Source organism: Homo sapiens, chromosome 1, assembly GCF_000001405.40.
Source record: "Homo sapiens chromosome 1, GRCh38.p14 Primary Assembly".
Taxonomy (NCBI): Eukaryota; Metazoa; Chordata; class Mammalia; order Primates; family Hominidae; genus Homo; species Homo sapiens.
In genome coordinates this window covers 102,874,282-102,895,679 of record NC_000001.11, presented here as the reverse complement: position 1 = coordinate 102,895,679, position 21,398 = coordinate 102,874,282, and the positions used below count along the sequence as shown (strand labels likewise).

The following is a 21,398-nucleotide window of genomic DNA, read 5'->3' as shown; positions in this document are numbered from 1 at the left end:
TGGCTGTGAGATTAACGAGATTTGGAAATTCATAGAGGTTTCTATTAATCTCTGAAATTAATCTGTGTGAAAGCTATAATAATAATACTTTCTCCATGATGAATTTTTTCCTCATTATAACATATATTCACATCCATATCCAAATCTACACAGGCTTCAATTTGCTTATCATTGGAGTTCCACAAGTACCTATTGGGTCTCTTTTCCCCTTCTAGAAGCTGCCTGTAACTACCTACTGTATTGTTTCTACTGGTGAGATAAAGCTACCAAGACATTCCCCTTTTCCCCACCTTTTAAATACAACCTAGCTGTTCAGTAAGTACAACTTACCTACTTTCATCTCTCCAGATTGGCAGCTACCTATTTAGACAATTGAAATATCTAACAGAGCATCCATTAGACACATAGATAAGTTTAACAATTTTATAGGAAGTTTCTGGATATGAAATTCTTTGGGGTAGAGTAAAACAAACTGATTTTTTAAACTCTTAAAATGATTTCTGCTTGGTGTCTGCCCACACTATGTTATCAGCTCTACTAGAGTCAGATGTGATATAGTATTTATTTTTTACTTGAAAAAGTACATATTTCACATGGTAAAAAACTTGTTTATAAACATGAATTCAACATATATTTACATTTGTATATGTGTATAGGTGTACACACACACACTCACACACACTACAAATGTGTACTTAGATCACCGTATGGAACTGAAGATTGACAAATAGCACATAAGGGTTGGGCATGGTGGCTCACGCCTGTAATCCCAGCTACTCGGGAGGCTGAGGTGGGAGAATAGCTTGAACCTGGGAGGCGGAGGTTTCAGTAAGCCAAGATCACACCATTGCACTCCAGCCTGGGTGACTGAGCGAGACTCTGTTTCAAAAATAAAAAAGATAAATAGCACATATGGAAGCTAATCAAAAGCTAAGGATGATGATCAGCCTATATAAATAACTCTATTGGAGTTTGTTTTTTTAAGTGGGACTCTGCTAGAGTCGGTATAATATAATTTTATTAGGGTTTCTTAAAGGATTTTTAAAATTTTCATTAGAATTTTGTATTGGTTGAATTATACTACTATTTTAGTAGTCAACCAACATTAAATGGGAATAAGACTGAATGTTTCAGTATTTATTTATTGAGACAGAGTCTCACTCTATCACCGGGGCTGGAGTGCAGTGGCACAATCACGAGTCACTACAACCTTGTCCTTCTAGGCTTAGGTGATCCTCCCGCCTCAGCCTCTCGGTTAGCTGGGGCTGCAGGTTTGTGCCACTGCACCAGGCTAATTTTTGTCATTTTTAGTACAGATAGGTTTTTGACAGTTGCCCAGGCTGCTCTTGGACTCCAGGGCTCAAGCGATCCATCCACCTCTGTCTCCCAAAGTGCTGGGATTACAGGCGTGAGCCACCAAGCCTGGCCAATTGAGTGTTTTAAAGAGAAGAATGAAGATGTCTAAATTCTACCCTCTGATACAAAGTCAAAATTAAAATGATTTAGTCACTTTTAAAACTAAAATGTATTTGATTTTTTGAAGTCAGAATTAACATCTGTCTTAGCTTTAAGGTTTTATTTTGTTTTGTTTTGTATTCTTTTAAGACTCTATTTGTTTTAATGCAGCTGAAAAATTATTCAGCATTTATGTTCAAAAAAGATTATTTAGTATTATCACACATTTCTGCTTTTGATAACAAAATGTTAAATAAAATATCTGATAGCATTATTTTTTAAACAATAAAAACTTAAAAGATAGGATGGGATACTGAATTAGAGTTTATTTCTTTAATCCTACATTTAAGTTATCTGTAGACAAGGGTGATATGGGTAGCATTCCACAATGATTAAAAAGGTTTAAATAAAAAAGCATTTGCTTTTCACCAGATTAAATATTATTCCACAATTTTATATTTTAAATAAAGTGTAGGATCTGCAGTTTCTTTAAATTTCAATGAACTAGAGTTTTGAAATGCAGATCAAAGCAAATATTCCAGAAAGTATAATACTGCAGGGGAAAATGTTTGCTTGTGTATTCTAGACACTTAAGAATGTATCATCCCTGTTTTCCTTTTCACTTTATTACTTATGAATTATGTATTTCCCTGGGGGTTTTCAATTTACAATATCCGAAAGAGAAAAATAGAAAATATGTATAGTTAGAATAACATTTTTATATGCAGAGTTGATGTTTTTGATCTGTTTCAGGTTCAAAGGGTTATTTATAACTGCTCTCGATATCATACCAATTTCTATTTCCAGCTGATGAAAATAAAAACTGATTTTGTTTGGCAAACTCATCTTTAGATGTAGTTTATAATGTTAAGAGAGATTATTAGCTTAGATAAATTAATATTCATTATCTTTAACTTCATGAATAATATTTATGGAAAGGATTTTTAATGCATTTAAAACACAAATAATGTCTAATATATTTTTCACTAAGCTTGAGCAATTAGAATCACTAGTAGTTCTTTTCTTGCCATTTTAGCTTTTTCTATTAGAATGGGATGAGAAAGTTGACAGGTATTTATCTGTAGCATATCTAAAACTAATGATAATAATTCAAATTTATATTATGCTTCACTGTTTATACAATTTTTACTATGGAGAGCAAAGCCCCAGTAATGGGGAGATAACTATATACTTGAAAGTGAATTTGACAATTTCATTGTGGTCTTTTTGTCTGAGATTTAACAGGGCAGGATGATTGTTTATTCTTATACAAAAGAGAATGTAACTAAATTCATATAAATTTGACTCTGAGGATTAGTAATTTTCTCCTTATTAGAAGATTATTATTAAGCATATCTACACTTAAAACTGCATGTGCTTGTATGAAAATAACTTTTGTCTGTTGTTAATTGAATAATATAGGGAAATTGTCCACTTTAATACTTAGAGAATTCCAAATTCAGTTATGAATTAAAAAACATAAGTATACCTAATAATAGTCTAAAATACCATTGTTACACAAGGGCTAATTTATATTAACACTATTCTTGCTCTTTCCTGATATTCACAGTTTTGGTTTGAGAAGCAGGCTTCAGAAACTAAAGAATAGGGAGGGCCCATCCTCATTCATGCAGCAGCTCTATGAGATAGGAATTGTAGTCCCCAGCTTGTAGATGAGAAAACTGAAGCTCTATTTGTCCAATTAATTTAAGTAGCTAAGAAGAGAGTTTGGTATCTATGCCAGACCTTATCTATTCTGAACCCATACTTTTCCTAGTACATCATACTGCTTGGATCAGATCCATAGTTCTTAAGGCTTTAAATTCACAAAAATTATGGACCAGGATATAATGTGCTGTTTTACACTGAAGAAATAGTGTTTCCAGATAGAGGAAAATATTACTCATGGTAGCCTTGTAGAAGATACAATAGTGGTGACTCATGATGTACTTTGGTAAAAAGTTAAAACAATTTGCTGTCATAGAGCCATGATGAAAATTATTACTGAAATTATAATTGAGCTAATTGAATTCTATCAAAATAATTCTAATTCATAGAGAAACCATATGAACAGTTTGCTTTTGTTGCTGGGTGCCTTAGGACTTGCGGCAAGCAGTAGTGACATAGTGACATATCTAGGTTATCGTGGCCCTAATTTCATAAGTCACATATAAATCATTTTTTTAGCATCAGTTTCACTTCCAACAGCATCTGTTGCCTGCGTAGTTTCACTTGTATAATTTCACAAGGACTGTATTTTGTGTTGTCTTCAAAATTGTAGTACAACAATTTGGCTTGTTAGTGTGGTGTGTTTTTGTGTTTTGTTTTGTTTACTTTCTCTAGCGACAGGGTGTTCCTCTGTCACCCATGCAGGAGTGCAGTGGTGTGATCTTAGCTCACCGAAGCCTCAAACTCATGGGTTCAAGTGACCCTCCTCCCTTAGCCTCTCAAGTAGCTGGGACAGCAGGTGCACACCACCAATTATTCTAGTTTTTGCTTTTTTTTTTTTTTTTGTAGACAAAATGTCTCACTGTGTTACCCAGGCTGGTTGCAAATTCCTAGGTTCAAGCGGTCCTCCCACCTCAGGCTCTCAAATTGCTAGGATTACAGGTGTGAGCCATTGTGCCTGGCCTAGAGTACAACAATTTATAGATAAAACAGTTTGTTCGAAAGTCATCAGTATGAAAATTTCCTTGGGCGGGGGGGCAGGACAGAGTTGGTTGCTAAAGTCATGCCATAATTTTCATAGAATGTAAGTTAAAAGGATAAATGTCTTAGTCTGGGACTATTAAAAACGTTAAATTATTGAAATAGAAGTATATTTATATAAAAAATAAATTTCTTTATTAATTTCATAAATCATTTAGATATGAGGTGCAATTTAGAAATTACAGCTGAAAGTACCATCTTGATGTAGTTTGTAACGTCTTATACTTTAGCTTAGAGAAATTAATAGTCATGATCTCTAACTTCTTCATGAATAATATACATGCAATATTTTATTGGGATTATTAAGTATTCGTAGTATATGTCTCTCTCCAGTAATCATAGTGAAGGACATCTGATTTCAAGAGAACAAAGAATAAGAATTGAGATCAGAATTCAGAAAATTGGCCATGGCCTAGAAGAATTACAGAGTTCCATGTTTTAATTTAGTATATATAGGAATTATCTTCTTATTCTATAGAATATTATTAGGCAACCATTCTAACATATACAAATAGAGGTTGTTATTTAAATACAAACCAAACAGTGTATTAAAATTTTGTCTATTTTTTTTCCTGTGGTTATCAAAGATCTATTGACTGTTCAAAAGTTTATTGAGTTTTTTCAAAAATGTTACTAAAAATATCATAAACTTTTAAATTCATGTAACATAAAAATGTTTGAGTAACTGGATATATAATTTGGAAATCCCTTCCAAAACTAGTGTACTTAAAAATTGACACTTTATTCTTAACTGAAAAGCCATATAACCATGTTCTATTTCTAACTTTACATTCATTTAATCAAAATTATCAATATTATGGTTACAAATTAAACCATAGTGTTTTAAATATATAAATTTACTTAGAAGCCTTAAAAATAAAGCAACATTAATCATTACTATTTTCAACTCCGTATTTTCAAAACTAAACTAGGTCTGTGACTAGTTATAGGATTCTCTAATTCATACCTACTCTGTTTTTGTTTTGGGGTTTTTTTTTTGTTATTATTTAGGGACCTCCTGGCTTACCTGGTCTCAAAGGTGACCCTGGCTCCAAGGGTGAAAAGGTGAGAATAAAAGAATGTGTTATTAATAAAAGAATATGCTTTTATATACTAATAGCCCTGCTTTTGCAGATTAAAATCATTCAAAAGAAAATTTCAAACAATATCTTCATTCTAACCCTGAAAAAAGCTTCAATCCTTAGCTTCCCAGATGTATGTAGAGGGGAGAAAATATGCAAATAGTGAAAAATGTGCTGGAATTCAGTGCTATATCTTCTCAAGGTTCCATTATAGCAACCATATGTAGAAAGCATATGGTTATACTAAAATAACTATTCAGAAAATAAACAGACTGAATAACAAAATATCTATTTTTATGTTTTTAAATGTGAAAATAAAAATTTTAAACTAGAAATATCTTTCAAATACTAATTTGATGTACTAGAATTTATGCTGAGTTGCACCAAGTACTTAGAGAAATTAGCCTTTTTAAAAATGGTATTATTATTGTTTGGATTATTTTTAAATCTTCAAATGCCTTTTAAAGACTGCAGAGTCTCTGAAGAGTAGAAATTATTTCATATTAAATGAGATGCCTATTAAAATAATGAGTTTTCTGTTATTTATTCAACTTATATTATAGGAGATCATTATTGGTTTAGAGATTCCTCAAATGGAACACTTAAAATGATATTTTTAGAAAGCATTTTGTTTTGTAATATTTCCAATGCTTAATAAAGCCCTCACTTAAAGTAAGCAGTAAAAGATCCAGTTAGGTGATGAGAAGGAGATTCTTAACTGTATATTTCATTCAGAAGGGTATTTTAATGTTGTTTTATCAGCATTGTTCATTTTTATGCTTTAGAAATTTAATGTGCAAATATTTTATAACTAAAATTTTATGAAGATAGTAATGTACATGTTATTATTTTTTTTCTCTGCCTTTCAAAGGGACATCCTGGTTTAATTGGCCTGATTGGTCCTCCAGGAGAACAAGGGGAAAAAGGTGACCGAGGGCTCCCTGGAACTCAAGGATCTCCAGGAGCAAAAGGGGATGGGGTGAGTAAAAATATAGGTTATTTTTTCTACTCATTTCCAATAATACACACACACACACACACACACACACAGTCCTTTAAGTATGATCAAAGAAAGAATTTAGAGTGTCTTAATTCTAATTTAAGTCAGTAATGTTCTTAAAAAGATATTTTTATTCAGCCCTAGAGTAAATAAATTTTAAAATATTTAAGTTAGAAACCATAAAAATTACAGTTGAGTATTATTTAAACAAACATGTACTAAATTCCCATCACCTGTAAATCATATTCTGAGGGATAAAGGAATATACACATTAACACATATAGATTGAAAACAAAAACCTCATTGATATTGTAGCAACATAGGAAAAATCCTGATTATTTTGCACAAGTTATTTTTTAGATTCACCATGGAAAAATGTTTAAGCCATTCATAAATATTTTTGCATTCTCTAAATTTTACAGTGTATGCTGTTATGAAAATATTGAAAAGTTATGAAAACATGAAAATGAAATAGCTGAGAAAATCCCTTTAAATTGGCTGATTCTCTCTCTAGGGAATTCCTGGTCCTGCTGGTCCCTTAGGTCCACCTGGTCCTCCAGGTTTACCAGTAAGTACAAGACAAAATAACCTTATAAGGTAGGGTTAAGTTACAAATATAACAGAGACACAAATGCTCCAGATTTTTATCTGTGCTTTTGCATTTGCATTTTGTAGGGTCCTCAAGGCCCAAAGGGTAACAAAGGCTCTACTGTAAGTACTTTTCCCTTTGACAATTTAATTTTGCATTGAAACCTATTTAATTGCCTCTTCTTTATTTATGTCCTCTCTCTTCTTTCTAACAGGGACCCGCTGGCCAGAAAGGTGACAGTGGTCTTCCAGGGCCTCCTGGGTCTCCAGTAAGTATATGTTAACAAGAGTGATGTTCTGACAGTTTGCATCTGGAAGCTGCCAATGATTTCTCTGAACTTATAAGATAGACAAAAAGCACATTCTGCCAAAAGTGCTGATTTTATAGGAAACATTATATCATTTAAGTAATCAAATCTACATGCCAAGACTTAAATTTTAATTGATTTCACTCTTCAAATATAAATGCCTTAATTGTATATTATAGTCTTGTTTTTATTATTTTTTCAAGAGAATCATATACTATTTTGTCACGTTAATGAAACCAACTTATTTTATGCCGTAAAGATACATTTTTACTTGACTCTAGGAATAATGACAAAAATTCAGATGCTTCACATTTTTTCCTAGTGCATTATAAAGATACTAATAAAAACAATAGTAATAGCTACCACTTTATTAATACTAAAATGTTCTAGGCTTCACATAACTAATTAAATGGTAGAATTAAAATATAGGTCCATGTGAAAGAAATGTTATTCTTCTTTCTTGAGCTAAAATCTTTCCAACTATATGTATACTAGTTTGCTAGGGCTACCATAGCAAAGTACCACAGAGTCGGTGGCTCAAACCACAAAAATGTATTGTCTCCCAGTGTTGGAGGCTAGAAGTCCTAGAACAAGGTGTCAGCAGTGTTGGTTCCTTCTGAGGTCCATGGCGGAAGGGTCTGTTCTGCACTTCTCTTCTTGGCTTGTGGTGGCTGTCTTTCCCCTGTGTCTCTTCACATTATCTTCCCTCTTTGGGTGTATCTGTGTTTAAATTTCTCCTTTTTATAAGAATATCACTTATATTGGATTAGGGCCCACTCTAGCGATGTTATCTTAACTAATTATATTTTCAGTGACTGTATTTCCAAATGGGATTACATTCTGAGATACTGAGAATTAGGACTTCAACATTACAAATTTTTGTGGGATACAATTCAACCCATGACAATATGATAACTATTTGATATAGCTCTGCTCGTAATGTAAATTCAAGTCGGGTTGCATTGATTTTAAGTTTGTTAATTTATAATGATTTAAGTCACACATATTTGAAGCAAACTAATGTGTACATATTTTTTAAAGTTTAATGTTTTATAATATAAATTATCATCAAATATAATACACAGTTGATTAGATAGCGCAATAGCTTTAAAGTGCTGTTCTAATCCTCAGAGACTTTACAATCTAGTTGTGGAGTTAGGGCATATAAATGATGACTAATTAATAAACAAGAGACTAACATATATAACATATCTACACAAATCTGTGCTATATTATTGTATAGATAAAGGGTGAGAAATCATCTAACTTATTCACCTACCTCAATATCTCCACCAAGTTCATCATAGAAGAATCTATGACGTTTATATATTTATAAACTTATCCTATAGCATAAATTTTGTAGCTAATGAAAAGCTAAACCAACTCTAATTTCTTATAACAAAAACATAACCAGTAATAATTAATATCTGCAGAATATTCCACTTTATGAAACAATTGCACTCACATTATCTTCTTTACAGGGTCCACCTGGTGAAGTCATTCAGCCTTTACCAATCTTGTCCTCCAAAAAAACGAGAAGACATACTGAAGGCATGCAAGCAGATGCAGATGATAATATTCTTGATTACTCGGATGGAATGGAAGAAATATTTGGTTCCCTCAATTCCCTGAAACAAGACATTGAGCATATGAAATTTCCAATGGGTACTCAGACCAATCCAGCCCGAACTTGTAAAGACCTGCAACTCAGCCATCCTGACTTCCCAGATGGTATGTAAATAATACATGACAAAGCAAATGTACCGAGCCCCTGAGTTTCTGAGGTGCATTGGCAGCTCATTCATTCTAGTTAAATGTTTAATACAGTCTCTAAATAAAATGAAACAGTTATTAATTATCTTCTAGACAGAAAAAATCATTTATACTGCATAAATCAAGATTTGCTTTGGAAAATCCTTGTCTGTTAAATGGGATTTTATTAAATTATGACAAGATCATTTTTGGATGATTACAGCTAACACAAATGTACTTTGCTTGTAATAACTATCACAGAATGGATACTGTGTATACACACATGTGTATATTGTAATATGATTACTAACTTCATGTTAATGTGAATACTTACATTAATATGATTATTATTTTAGATTAATATGAATATATGGATATGTGTAAATAGCATAACTGATGTATATTTGATCTATCAGTTTGGCAATGATTTGGTGAACAGAATATTAAGAACTGGGATAGCTTGGGGCAAAAATGTATCTTTAATTGAGCCACAGATATTCCAAACAGCTGTGAATAGCTTACTTACTAATAACAATTAGGATAATTCATCATACCAACTCTTTGACAAAACCTTTATATACCTATTGGTCAGAGAAAGAAAGAGTTTCAGGTTGCTAAGTTAGTTGACTAAACTCTTACAATTATTAAAGTAGCAAGGGGCAGATCTTCATCTGATTTTTAAATTTCCCACTGCATGTTGAACTATTTTGTCTCCCCTTTACTCTGTAGAAAATATTGTTTTGCACTACCAATCATATAATGTCAGTTATAACTGTGATCTAAGTAACTCAATGCAGATAGAAAAGTTCAGTGTAGTTCAGAAACAGCCAGCATAAAAAAAAGGATGTCACAAAAATCTTCTTATCTTAATCAAGCATAGCCTGTTAAAGGTAAAACACAGGTAATTATTAGCGTTCCTATACAAACTGGTATCTAACATCTTCATGTTTATAATATGTTTATCTGAAAAATATACATTTAGTTTAGTGATTTATAAGGAGATTTACTTTTAACTGGTGTTATTTAAGCAAAAGATGTAGATGATTTAGATAATTCAATGTTATATACTCCTAAAAACCATGTAAGATATATCAAAGGTTTACAGTGGTTATCTCTACTTGGTAAAATCTTAGATGATTTTTTTTATTTCCTTGTATTTTTTTCCTGGGAATTCTAATTTGTTTCAGACATGATTATATTAATGGTATAATCTGAAAAAATATAGATGTTTTTGTTAAAGATATTAAAGTTATGCGACTATTAGAATACTTTTCCTGTTTATATACAAGTAGTAGCAGAAGATAAAGCAGGTTGATATTGCATTGTTTAGAGTTCCAGCACCAAGATAAGCAATTTGAGCTTTTAAAATATTAAAAGTTCATAACCAGTGGACTTATATAATTCAAATATTTCAAATGAAGTGGCAGCATGAAAAACAGTTGGAAGTATAAAGGTAGAAATAATTCGATTCCTTTCCTTCTCAGTATAAAGGTCAAAGCTGACACCCCTATAAAAAAAAAGGTTAACAAGAGAAAAATATTAAAAATGTATTTGATTATAGTTCAACATAACATAGGCGCCTTCAGATTCAAGCTCGAAAGATACAGAGGAAGCTATCTGATTTTATGCTTAGGTTCGATAAGGCAGGGACAGCTGTGTAGAAATGCAATATAATATTGGACAAAAAAAGGGTATGAGCTAATGATACTAATCCGAGTAGGGAAACCTAGTAAGGCCTTCTGTTCAGATACTCCCTGGCCTGTGTTGTAGTATTCCATCCTCCCAGGTACGGGGTAGAACCCCTCTGGAATAAGGGTTTTAATTTCTTTATGGCCAGCTGTTACACAGAAAGGTGGGTGAAGGTTATGTTAACAGTGGCAAATCCATATGGTATACTAAGGGTTATAGGAGTGAAAGTTTATTAAAAAGTTTCAGAACAGAAATGAAAGAAAGTAAAGTACACTTGGAAGAGGGTCAAGCGGACGACTGGAGGGCTTCAAGTGCATGGTTTGACCTTTGACTTGGGGTTTTCTACATTGGCATGCTTCTGAGGTTTGCATCTCTTCTCGCCTGATTCCTCCCTTGGGGTGGGCTGCCCACAAGTGCAGTGGGCTGCCAGCACTTGGGAGGGGCCACACACACATTTTGTTTCCTGGAGCTGTGCGCATGCTCACTTGAGGCGTCAGTTTAGTGTTCCCAGAGGAAGGTTATTTACCAGTTAAACTCCAACCATTTGCATCTTAGTGCACATGCTTGAGCCCAGTAGCCCACCTCCTGAGATCGTATAAAGAAGCTGCTGGTCACCAGTTTCAGGTGTTTTCTATGAGGAACAGGAAGACTGCCATTCCCTGGCACCAGCTGCAACCAATTGTTTTAGCAAGACAGTTTAACAACTGCCTGACCTTCATCTGATGGTCGCCTGACATTCCTGGTGGGATTGGCAGGGCTCTCCTGCCCTGTTTATGTCTGACTACCTACTATAACAGTTAGAGTAGTATGTTTAGGTTTTATAGCTGGCTTTGCAAAAAAGGGGTTCTGGTTTCTATGACCCACTTTGGGGAGGAGGGATTCTAATTTCCATGACTTGCCTCGAGGGAGAATGAGGGATGAGAGACAGGAGGGCAGAGGTCAGAGAAAAACTGCCTCAGCGGCTTTCACTTTGGGGTATCATTTTCTGAGTCCCAACAGAAGGAAGCAAAGTAATGTTTACATGTATATCACTTTTGGCTCCTAGTAACTTTTGTTAACTAAAGCCGTATTGTCAGTTATCTAAAGAATAACTTTGTTACTCCCACTATTTTCCATGCTTACTCACATAACACCAAATGAATGGTGATGATTATTCACATAATAAAATGTGTTCTGCAACATTTCAGCAATGGCATTAATAGCAGGCTGCATTAAAATATAAAGTAGTCCTTCTTAGGACCCCCCTTCAAAGAGAGAGTACATTTATTGCAAGAAGTTTTTTTTTTTTATAAAATAAGGCAGAGGTATGATCTCTGAGGCTAAGTAGATACGATATCACCTCCACTGTTACAAATGAATAAACTAGGAAGAAAATATATTGATTACACTACTCAGATTACTTAAGTAGTAAATAATACTTATGAGATTTGGAGTCAAGTATATCTTATTTCAATATGCATGCAATTTATTACACAGGGATAAATGGAATGTTAATATTTGAGGAGATGATATTTAAGTTGAAACCAAAAAGTGATAGGCATGCTAAGAATTTTAAAAAGGTATTCCAGGTAGAACATATGGGGCATTTGCAAAGCTTTGAGGCAGACAAGAGAAAGTATCACTCTTTATTAAAAACCGTACCCCAATATGCCCAAAAGCTTAAAAGGCAAAAGATCTATTAATATGTATTTTCCTTATTTCTCTTTCTAACAAAATTTGACATCTAATGCATTCAACAATGATGTCAATGAATTTTTATATGACATATTTTTTGCTACCTTCTAGGTGAATATTGGATTGATCCTAACCAAGGTTGCTCAGGAGATTCCTTCAAAGTTTACTGTAATTTCACATCTGGTGGTGAGACTTGCATTTATCCAGACAAAAAATCTGAGGGAGTAAGTACCAATCTGTTTTGGTGGTGAATGTTGACAGTTCCTGCCATGTTTTGCAATATTGAACTAAACAGGAAAATTATACTGTCATATTTTCATTTATCTGCTTTTCTTACAAAATAATTAGAGTACTTCATTTGCATAAACATGAATAAGCACCAAATTGATGCACAGAGTTAACAAATACTTCTCTTCTTTATTTTTTACCCAGATGTATTCTTTCTGCACCTGCTTGCTCACTAAAATTCTATGGATTTCCATGACACAGCACAGCTGAATCTCAAATTTTAGTGCCACTAAAGTGTTCTTCTGCCCAATTACCACATCAGAGACCTCACAGCTGCATATTACACCCAAAATATCTAATTTTATAAAGAATTAAACTTTTATATACAAGTCTTTTCTGCACTTACATATTTTTTAAATATTTAGTTTCTTTAAACAAATTCTTTAATTTTTACCTAACATTATTACCAGTACACTGAGTTCTGTCTTCAAAGCTAAATGCAAATCATTAATGTAAAGAAAGTTTGTTCACGAGCATAACTATATTCTCCAAACATTTTATAAGTGGACATTTTGTCTTTATTGGTATTCATGTAATAAATCTCATTCTTCCTAGTAAATGGTGTGGACAATAGAGGCACAGAAACTCCTTAAGGCAAAACAAGTAGCTTTATGTGTGACTAATGGTTTTGGGAGAAAAGTTAAGTTTCTGAGTAAAGAGTGGGTAGTAAGGGCAGGAGAAAAAACAACTTCCATCTTCCAACACTACTTGGCATGTAATGAAGCACAGTAAAGCTCCCCTAGCCTCCAGAGAAATGTGGAAAAACAGAAAATGTTGTTTCTTACACAGATAACTCGAGTTCCCTATTGTGAAGACTTATATACCCTTTGCTGTTCTTCACAAAGCAGAACAATAAATGCAGATCTATAAGATTCTAAATATTCTAACCAGCAGGGAGTAATTCAGGTTGCTTCCAATCAGTGCCTTTCACACAGTATATCTCCTTAGCTACTGGCTAAATACTTTCAAACATGTTCCTTGGCTATGGAGTGAAGATGGTACCTGCCTTGCTTGATGAAGCTGACTGACATTTTGAGGATTTCCTTTGCAAAGGGTTTCTGAGTGTTCCACCAATGTCCCCTATAACCCTTAGTATGCCTATACCCGGTTGTCTTTCCCCTTTTCCTTTAGAGCTGATAAAGACAACAAAAAGGAAATGACTCAATCTTCACTACATAGAATGTACAGGATCTATCTCAAATTTTTCTCTTTGTCTCATTTTGTATAATCTAATTTGTGTCATTTTAAAACGATTTTAAGCACTCTTTATTTTCTTAGTCTTACTGAAAATGAATTATATGTATATAAAAATACTGTTTATATTGTAAATTTTCACCTACTCACTAACTTTTCTGTTCCTTTGCAACAGGTAAGAATTTCATCATGGCCAAAGGAGAAACCAGGAAGTTGGTTTAGTGAATTTAAGAGGGGAAAACTGGTATGTTATTACCTCAACATGAAACGATTTTTCACGAACTCAAGAAGTGACATTCTGATTATGTATTTCTGGACTTTAACAGTGAAAGTCTAAATTATGCTAAATGAGGATTCCCTGTGGTCTCTAGTTTGTTCCACTTAATATCTCTTAGACCACTGTGGTATCTTAAAGCAACCTAACATTTTTGTATAAAAGTAAATGGAAATATGCTAAATTTATGGAAAACAAGGATCAAATCATGCATACAATTTATTAAGTACCTGAGATAGACATCATAAAAATTGATTATGTTAGAAATATCAGGTATAAAGAATATAATATCTACTTAATATCTTCCTATTATTTCACTTTCTGTCTGCTTGAAACCTAATTCCTTCTTTATTCTTCATATCAATAAGTTGGAATGTGCAACTTTTTCTGATTGTTCTGGCACAAATTTAAAGATTTCCATACAATTACCAGTTCATTTCAATAATTTTCTAAAGATATTTTAAGATTAGATGTCAAAATTAAATTAATCTTTAAAAGGTGTTTAATCATATACATGTGTTTAAAGTATTTTATTTAGAAGTTATTGAATTTAAAGTGTTTTCCAGTTATCCAGATAATTATTCAGTTGTTTAATTTTCTTTGAAAAGCTATTATTTTCCATTTATGATTATTTATACAGTTATTATTTCTATACAAACTCATGCATATTAACCACTTTTATTGACACTCTCCACTGGAGTTATAATTCTCTATTACAGTCTTCAAGTTGCATATTAAATATCCATATTACATTATTATCTTTGTATAAGTTTAAAAATATATACAGATAGAACTCTATGTGTGTGGATTGAATTTTCCCAGTAGATTTTTTTCTTCAACCCCCAAGAATACTCATGATCTGACCTACTATTCAGTAAGAACTAAGTAAAATCTGTTTTAAGGAAGAAAGTAACAAATAACTGCCTTTACATTGACCTAATCTATAATCTAGGTGAACATCTTAACCTTTTTTTTTTCAAATTTAAGTGTATATGTTACAGCTGAACTCAGATATTTTTATTACCAAAAATAAGACAATTTATAAAGATGATATGAGACAGTTGCTAATAAATTACAACTGAGACTATTTTCCTGCTATAATTTCAGAATAAGTATTGACTCAACAAATATTAACTTGCCTTGTCTTGCACATTATGCCTGCTGCTGGCAATACAATGTTGAATACACACATCATCTAAAAATAGATAAACAGGCATTTCTGAAAATATTAATAACCTTTGAGGACTATAGCCCCAAAATGAAAAGTGTAGGAACATGTTTACAGATTTGGGTAAAGTTGATACATTTTGAAATGTTTGAAAGGAATAGTCAAAATCAAACAACATAAAACCAGCTAATCTTTGCATTATTCTGAGATTCCTTGGTTTTCATTGTTCCATTATTTTACCAATTTTTTTTTCAAAAAGATACAGAAATATATTGAAACATTTCTTGGAAACTAAAGCATTTTTTATAGTGTTTACTGTTTAGGAAACTAAGACTTAGAGATAAAGTGGTTTTTTCAAAGATAAGCAGTGGCTACAGTAACTTAGGTGGGATACAATTCATAAAATCTTGTCTCTGGGTCTTCTGACCCTCAATGTACACTTTTTTTCATTAGGTTAAGGTGGGTCTTTTGATTCATCTACATGCTTCTGGCATCACAGTTCACTGTCTGCAGTGATTTAATTCTTTGTAGCATAAAAGAGGAAAAGAGTCATTAGGTGTCTTTTTATTCCTTTATTCCTAGCTTTCATACTTAGATGTTGAAGGAAATTCCATCAATATGGTGCAAATGACATTCCTGAAACTTCTGACTGCCTCTGCTCGGCAAAATTTCACCTACCACTGTCATCAGTCAGCAGCCTGGTATGATGTGTCATCAGGAAGTTATGACAAAGCACTTCGCTTCCTGGGATCAAATGATGAGGAGATGTCCTATGACAATAATCCTTTTATCAAAACACTGTATGATGGTTGTGCGGTGAGTATAAGTTCTGCTTGTCTCCCTTCACAGAGATGATAGGCAGCATGTCACCGTTTCAGTCGGTCCTTAGCCAGATTTTTCTCATGAAATGGACGTCAGTTGTTATTAACATTTGTTGCTTAATCTTGACATGTTAAACTATGGTATGTGAGAAACCAGTAATGTTAACACACACACAGTTATGCACATAGACACTCTGAAACATTTTTAAAGGCATACAGAAGGTAATCTTGGATTATATGTTATTTTATTCTGACATTTGAATCATATCACAGCTAGTTATTCCTAAAATGAAAAAGAAAATAAAAACACTTATTTCATTTGCCTCCTTATTGCTGATTTTAAAATGACAGATAAAGGAATCACCATTATACCATTTATAATATCAATAATTTTTAGCCCTATATTTTGTTTATAAGAAGCTTGTTAATTTGTACTATATCAGTTTGAGATCCAGTATCATTATTGTTATCTCTATCTTATAGAACTACCTTGTTCACACACATAAGATTTTACATAAGAAAATAATAAATAGGTGCCCTAAAAAGTTCATTGCTTTAGCTGAGTATTGATGACTGAAGAGAAGTCACAATTGTAAATAAGTAAGTTCATGTTTTCATCAAAATGAGTGGAGTGCAAGTAGAATGAAGAAGAGAGAGTAAAGCAAATGAATGGAGCAAGAGTTGGGAAAAGCTTTTCCAATATAGTTTATTGTTAAATATTCATAAAATTAACATATAGCAGAAGAAATTTTTTTGACATTTGACCTTGTGTGTTATAGTTGTGAACCTGTATTTAACTTTTTCTGTAAGAGAATTTGACTATGTATATCTTAACTATAATGGTAAAGATGTATTATTTATACTGGAGGGGCTGGGTGTGGTGTCTTACCCCTGTAATCCCAGAACTTTGGGCAGCCATGGCGGGCAGATCACCTGAGGTCAGGAGTTCAAGACCAGCCTGGCCAACAAAGTGAAACCTCATCTACTAAAAATACAAAAAGTAGCTGGGCATGGTGGCACATGCCAGTAGGTCCAGCTACTCAGGAGACTGAGGCAGGAGAATGGCTTGAAACCAGGAGGCAGAAGTTGCAGTGAGCTGAGATCACTGCTCTCCAGCCTGAGCAACAGAGCAAAACTTCATCTCAAAAAAAAAAAAAGAAAGAAAAGAAAAAGAATATATATATATATATATATATATATATGAGGATTCAATACCAACATCAATTTTCATATTAAATTGTATTTATTATGAAACTCAAGACTCTTTTTAATTACAAAATATATAGCACTATCATAGTTAAGTAATTACAGCTAAGTATTAAATGTACTAATCAATATTCAAAATTTAGAACTATACAGTGATAAGAATTATTACATAGATAATAGAAAATTTGTTTTTCTATTCTCTTCTCTCTCAGCTTCTTACCTCCACTCAGAAGCCCAAGAAAAAATAAGATGCATTTAAAAATATTAAAAGATTGTATAACTTTTTATTTCTGCTTTATTTTACAGTCCAGAAAAGGCTATGAAAAGACTGTCATTGAAATCAATACACCAAAAATTGATCAAGTACCTATTGTTGATGTCATGATCAATGACTTTGGTGATCAGAATCAGAAGTTCGGATTTGAAGTTGGTCCTGTTTGTTTTCTTGGCTAAGATTAAGACAAAGAACATATCAAATCAACAGAAAATATACCTTGGTGCCACCAACCCATTTTGTGCCACATGCAAGTTTTGAATAAGGATGGTATAGAAAACAACGCTGCATATACAGGTACCATTTAGGAAATACCGATGCCTTTGTGGGGGCAGAATCACATGGCAAAAGCTTTGAAAATCATAAAGATATAAGTTGGTGTGGCTAAGATGGAAACAGGGCTGATTCTTGATTCCCAATTCTCAACTCTCCTTTTCCTATTTGAATTTCTTTGGTGCTGTAGAAAACAAAAAAAGAAAAATATATATTCATAAAAAATATGGTGCTCATTCTCATCCATCCAGGATGTACTAAAACAGTGTGTTTAATAAATTGTAATTATTTTGTGTACAGTTCTATACTGTTATCTGTGTCCATTTCCAAAACTTGCACGTGTCCCTGAATTCCATCTGACTCTAATTTTATGAGAATTGCAGAACTCTGATGGCAATAAATATATGTATTATGAAAAAATAAAGTTGTAATTTCTGATGACTCTAAGTCCCTTTCTTTGGTTAATAATAAAATGCCTTTGTATATATTGATGTTGAAGAGTTCAATTATTTGATGTCGCCAACAAAATTCTCAGAGGGCAAAAATCTGGAAGACTTTTGGAAGCACACTCTGATCAACTCTTCTCTGCCGACAGTCATTTTGCTGAATTTCAGCCAAAAATATTATGCATTTTGATGCTTTATTCAAGGCTATACCTCAAACTTTTTCTTCTCAGAATCCAGGATTTCACAGGATACTTGTATATATGGAAAACAAGCAAGTTTATATTTTTGGACAGGGAAATGTGTGTAAGAAAGTATATTAACAAATCAATGCCTCCGTCAAGCAAACAATCATATGTATACTTTTTTTCTACGTTATCTCATCTCCTTGTTTTCAGTGTGCTTCAATAATGCAGGTTAATATTAAAGATGGAAATTAAGCAATTATTTATGAATTTGTGCAATGTTAGATTTTCTTATCAATCAAGTTCTTGAATTTGATTCTAAGTTGCATATTATAACAGTCTCGAAAATTATTTTACTTGCCCAACAAATATTACTTTTTTCCTTTCAAGATAATTTTATAAATCATTTGACCTACCTAATTGCTAAATGAATAACATATGGTGGACTGTTATTAAGAGTATTTGTTTTAAGTCATTCAGGAAAATCTAAACTTTTTTTTCCACTAAGGTATTTACTTTAAGGTAGCTTGAAATAGCAATACAATTTAAAAATTAAAAACTGAATTTTGTATCTATTTTAAGTAATATATGTAAGACTTGAAAATAAATGTTTTATTTCTTATATAAAGTGTTAAATTAATTGATACCAGATTTCACTGGAACAGTTTCAACTGATAATTTATGACAAAAGAACATACCTGTAATATTGAAATTAAAAAGTGAAATTTGTCATAAAGAATTTCTTTTATTTTTGAAATCGAGTTTGTAAATGTCCTTTTAAGAAGGGAGATATGAATCCAATAAATAAACTCAAGTCTTGGCTACCTGGATTGGTCATTTTCTTTCTTAAATAGGTTCCAAATTATTCTCAATTTCAGATAAAGCTTTTGATTCTTTCTTGACCATCCAGATTAGAACAGTTTTACACTTCTGAACAAACATATTACCATTCAGAGATAAGTTGTCTAAATCCCCCACATGCATAAGATAGTGAAAAGGACATGGTAATACTGAATTTATAAAATAAAGGTAGATTATACTTAAAATTTCAAAGAGATATTTTTGTAATTACATATTTTACATAATGATGAAAGTATAGCAATAACAGAATATTTTGCATATTAGCCTGCATCAGGGATGCAGTGTTATCCATTTAAACCAAATAAACTTTAATTTGGCACTCAATAGAATGAATAGATAATTGAATGTCTATGCTTTTATATTCTTTCCATATATAGATATAGTCTTCTTCAGGACGTCAGACTTTTTTCTCTCCCTTATGATTGATGTAATCTAGACAAAAGAAAGCTCACCAGAATAGAAAAAACTTGTTAGATGACATTTTAATCCTGGCCCCAGCAGGTATGTTATTCATATGAATACAAAGAACAGTATTGACCTTGAAGGCAGGGTAAATCATGGACTTAATGCACATGAAATTTGATCTAACTTTAAGAAATAAAACTACAAACACAAGGTACAGAAGTGACTATAATGAGTAAAGATATTACAACAAATTATTAATTTTATTAAAAAGTTAAAAAAACAGGAAATCTGGGAAAACAATGTTTTTTCTTTCTGAAACACTTCTGTGATTTTTTAATATTATATTTTTGGCTGCAGTCTCTTTGAGTGCCTCTTTATAAGAGATTTCATAATTTAACTTAATATAGAGTAAGATACTCTAATATGCAAGGTGAAAAAATGTTTCTTATTGATACCTTAGAAATATTTCTGTTTCATGTCTTGTTATTGGTAAGTAAGTATTATAAAATTTTTAGATTATTTAAAAATTTAGGAAAATCTCTATTACATATATTTCATATGCACTACAAAATTTGTGAGAAATTTCCACAGACTAGCTTCTGATTCTGTTTATTTCAAATCTTGTTTCTCCTCCACTGCCTATAGATTTTATGTTCTGGGAACCATAAAACACATGGATGCCATGGTACAAACTCAGTCTTCTTTGTGATCATCATAACATATCATTAGTTCATTCTTCCATTGCTATAAAGAAATACATGAAACTGAGTAATTTATAAAGAAAATAGGTTTAATTGGCTCATGGTTCTGCAGGCTGTACAGGAAGAATAGCAGTTTCTACTTCTGGAGAAGCCTCAGGAAGCTTCCAATCATGGCAGAAGGCAAAGTGAGAATGAGACGTCTCACATGGCTGGAATAGGTGCAAAAGAGAGTGAGAGGGGAGGTGCTACACACTTTTAAATAACCATATCTCATGAGAACTCACTATCACAAAAACAGCCCAAGAGGATGCTGGTAAACTCTTCATGAAGGATCCACCCCCAGGTCCAATTACACCACATTAGGTCCCAGCTCCAACACTGCGGATTACAATTCAATATAAGATTTGAGTGTGGACACATATCCCAACTATATCAGTGGATGACAGGGTTATTCCAGAAAGCCATTTACACTAGGATTGCCGGCATTAATATACATAAAATAATGACAGGTTGTATAATTATACCCCATCATGTAAATATAGTATACAAACCCCAAATAAATGAATCTATATTTGAATTTTCTCCTTGCTGGCCCCTTCCACTCTACCTAACAAAAGGCGAAATGACAAAGAGTAGTTGCAGTGGTAAAACAACGTTCTTAACTAATCATGGTCAATCTTACTCTGGCAAATTTTACTAATAATATGACCATGCAGACATATTTCTAGGAGACCTCCCAGGGTCTTAAATGGAGCCCATGCAAAAGAAGTGTCCTGGAGCTTAAGCTTTATGAGATTCATGTTAAATAGATGGCTTCATACTGGATAACTGTAAAACATATGAGTTACCTAACACAAAATCTGGCATATATCAGCTATAAAGAAATTGCTGCTACTCTAGATTTCTTTGTGCTGCTATTATCACCACAGTATAAGTCCCTTTCTGAAATGTAGCTAGTAACACCTGTGCTACCCAATATCATATAATTTTTATAAAGATTTCATTTGAACAAAGTAAATATTATACAAATTGCATGATCACAGAGACC

The 21,398-nt window shown here is 32.6% G+C and overlaps 1 protein-coding gene across 9 annotated transcripts in view, besides 1 other annotated feature; it reads left to right on the top strand.

The window, feature by feature from the left end:
- COL11A1 (collagen type XI alpha 1 chain) overlaps window positions 1–19,207 on the top strand; it is a 232,050-nt gene extending 212,843 nt beyond the window's left edge. For 8 of the 9 annotated variants that reach the window (NR_134980.2, NM_001190709.2, NM_080629.3 and 5 more), the window contains 10 exons: window positions 5,176–5,229; window positions 6,118–6,225; window positions 6,761–6,814; window positions 6,922–6,957; window positions 7,050–7,103; window positions 8,624–8,873; window positions 12,369–12,481; window positions 13,915–13,983; window positions 15,764–15,997; window positions 17,515–19,207. Coding sequence is in view for 8 of the 9 variants with exons in the window: in NM_001190709.2 (NP_001177638.1) it covers window positions 5,176–5,229; window positions 6,118–6,225; window positions 6,761–6,814; window positions 6,922–6,957; window positions 7,050–7,103; window positions 8,624–8,873; window positions 12,369–12,481; window positions 13,915–13,983; window positions 15,764–15,997; window positions 17,515–17,661 (1,119 nt within the window). In the remaining variant the exon portion in view is untranslated. Of the gene's footprint in view, window positions 1–215; window positions 786–5,175; window positions 5,230–6,117; window positions 6,226–6,760; window positions 6,815–6,921; window positions 6,958–7,049; window positions 7,104–8,623; window positions 8,874–12,368; window positions 12,482–13,914; window positions 13,984–15,763; window positions 15,998–17,514 lie in introns of those variants that run through there. The other variant, XM_017000336.2, reaches the window with a different exon arrangement.
- Window positions 15,109–16,308: an enhancer, noted in NCBI's record as "P300/CBP strongly-dependent group 1 enhancer chr1:103344928-103346127 (GRCh37/hg19 assembly coordinates)". NCBI's record gives its function as "activates an origin of replication core promoter dependent on BRD2, BRD4, P300/CBP, MED14 and CDK7 cofactors, with strong dependence on P300/CBP, by STARR-seq in HCT116 cells {active_cell/tissue: HCT116}" and the evidence as "EXISTENCE:reporter gene assay evidence [ECO:0000049][PMID:35650434]".